The 2,449-nt window shown below is 40.5% G+C and overlaps 1 annotated feature.

Moving 5' to 3' along the window:
* Positions 1,359-2,058: an enhancer, noted in NCBI's record as "NANOG hESC enhancer chrX:73005301-73006000 (GRCh37/hg19 assembly coordinates)". NCBI's record gives its function as "activates a minimal SCP1, AML or CMV promoter by ChIP-STARR-seq in naive H9 embryonic stem cells {active_cell/tissue: H9 hESC(naive)}" and the evidence as "EXISTENCE:reporter gene assay evidence [ECO:0000049][PMID:30033119]".

Here is a 2,449-nt window from a genome sequence, read left to right as displayed (position 1 = left end):
AGAGGAAGTCAAATTGTCTCTGCTTGCAGATGACATGATTGTGTATTTAGAAAACCCCATCGTCTCAGCCCAAAATCTTCTTAAGCTGCAAGTCTCAGGATACAAAATCAATGTGCAAAAATCACAAGCATTCCTATACAGCAATAATAGACAAACAGAGAGCCAAATCATGAGTGAACTCCCATTCACAACTGCTACAAAGAGAATAAAATACCTAGAATACAACTCACAAGGGACGTGAAGGACCTCTTCAAGGAGAACTACAAACCACTACTGAAGAAAATAAGAGAGGACACAAACAAATGGAAAAACATTCCATGCTCATGAATAGGAAGAATCAATATCGTGAAAATGGCTATAGTGCCCAAAATAATTTATAGATTCAATGCTATTCTTATAAAGCTACCATTGACTTTCTTCACAGAATTAGAAAAAACTACTTTAAAATTTCATATGGAACCAAAAGGAAGGAGCAATTGAAATATTGGTTTTCTAAATTGGGGGAGAAATAGATATGAAGGGCTTGCTTATATCCTTCACAAGTGTGTGCTCACAGTACATAAGTAGGACTAGATTTTTTTTTTTTTTTGAGAGGGAGTCTCGCTCTGTCACTGAGGCTGGAGTGCAGTGGTGCTATCTCAGCTCACTGCAAGCTCCACCTCCCGGGTTCATGCCATTCTCCTGCCTCAGCCTCCCGAGTAGCTGGGACTACAGGTGCCCGCCACCACGCCTGGCTAATTTTTTTTTTTTTGTATTTTTAGTAGAGACGAGGTTTCACCGTGTTAGCCAGGATGGTCTCAATCTCCTGACCTCGTGATCCACCCGCCTCGGCCTCCCAAAGTGCTGGGATTACAGGCGTGAGCCAACGCGCCTGGCCTAGATTTTTTTTTTAATCTGTCTTTCTGGTTGATCTGGGGAGGATGCTGGTAAAACTGCAATTCTTACCAAAGGAGGAGTATACTGGTATAACTACTATAATTTTTGTTCTTCTCCAAATTGCCTCAAATTTTTTTCTCTCCCTTACCTGATGTGGTGGTCCTAGGACCAGGGCTCCAATTATAACTCCTACTAATAGCAGGAATGCTTTTTAAGCAAAAAACTTTACCTTTAAACCTCTATGTTAGAATTCCTAAAAGGCTTCTAGGGGTGGATTGTGCTTCCACATTTGGCAAAATGGAGGCTAATAGTGAATGTATATAGCTATATTGCCTGGTGGTAAAAATAGCCCACTAGTTCTGTACCTATGTAACCTTACCTTATTGGAATGGGAGTAGACTGAGGAGGAGGCACTTGCTAGACTAGTATTGCTGCCTGCAATCCAGCACAGTGGTGTTTCTAACATCCCTTCCAAAAGTGAGTTTGAGTAAATAAATGGGTTAAAAATTGAGAGAAATTAAACATTACATAAATACTTCAAAAGAGACAGCAAGAGATGACACTGCCTCTTAGCCCAGTTATTCCAGATGCCTGAAAGTGTGAAGTTATATGTTTGCTGAGACAACAACTGCTTTTGGAACCTGACAAGATTAAAAGGAAGCCTGTAAACCTGAGTGGCCTCACCCTGGGACACATTAATGCAAGATGATGGATTGGACCAATTATTAATGACTGAATGGGATTCAATATCTTTTGAGTTGCATGCCCTTTTGATGTAAAGGATCCAGGTTCAAATACCAGGGGTGGACTGTGATATTTTAAAATATATATTTGGTCTTCATCCCAGTTTCCTGGCATATAACTCCTAAAACCCTTGGAATCGCCAAAGTGCTGTCTTTTTATATGGTAATGTTGACTGACACCTTCAGGGTAGGGCTGGTCACCAGAAAGACAAAGGCATGATTAGAGGGTTGGGCTTTCAACCCCATCCCCCAAACTCTGGAGAGGGAAGAGAGGCTGAAGGTCAAGTTGATTACCAATGGCCAATGGTTTAATCAACCATGCCTCTGTAATGAAGCCTATGTAAAAACCCAAGAGGACATGGTTCAAAGAGCTTCTGGATAGCTGAACATATGGAGGTTCCTGGAGAGTGGCACACCCAGGGAGGGCATGGAAGCTCTATACCTCTTTCCCTATACCTCATCCTACACATCTCTTCATCTATATCCTTTGTAGTATCCTTTATAATAAACCAGCAAATATAAAAACAATTAAAAAATGAAAAAAGTCAATGTGCCTAAGACCATCCAGATAATAAGTGACAAAATATAGTTTCAAATCCAAGTCTGACACCTAACCCAATGCTGTGTGAAACTTACATAACCTCTTACAACCATCAATCTCCAGGATCCTCTGCTGCTCATATCAAAAGCAGAAGCTTTCAGTTATTTCAATAAGATTGTGTTTGTGAAGTCCTGAAGGGAGGAGCCTTCATGTTTAGCAACACCCAGGGGGATGGTCAGGCTATAAGATTGTAATATGTGACTTTAATAACAAGGTTGAATAACTTTTT

The sequence above is a fragment of the Homo sapiens genome, chromosome X, assembly GCF_000001405.40.
Source record: "Homo sapiens chromosome X, GRCh38.p14 Primary Assembly".
Lineage (NCBI taxonomy): Eukaryota > Metazoa > Chordata > Mammalia > Primates > Hominidae > Homo > Homo sapiens.
This window is presented reverse-complemented; position numbering and strand designations above follow the sequence as displayed.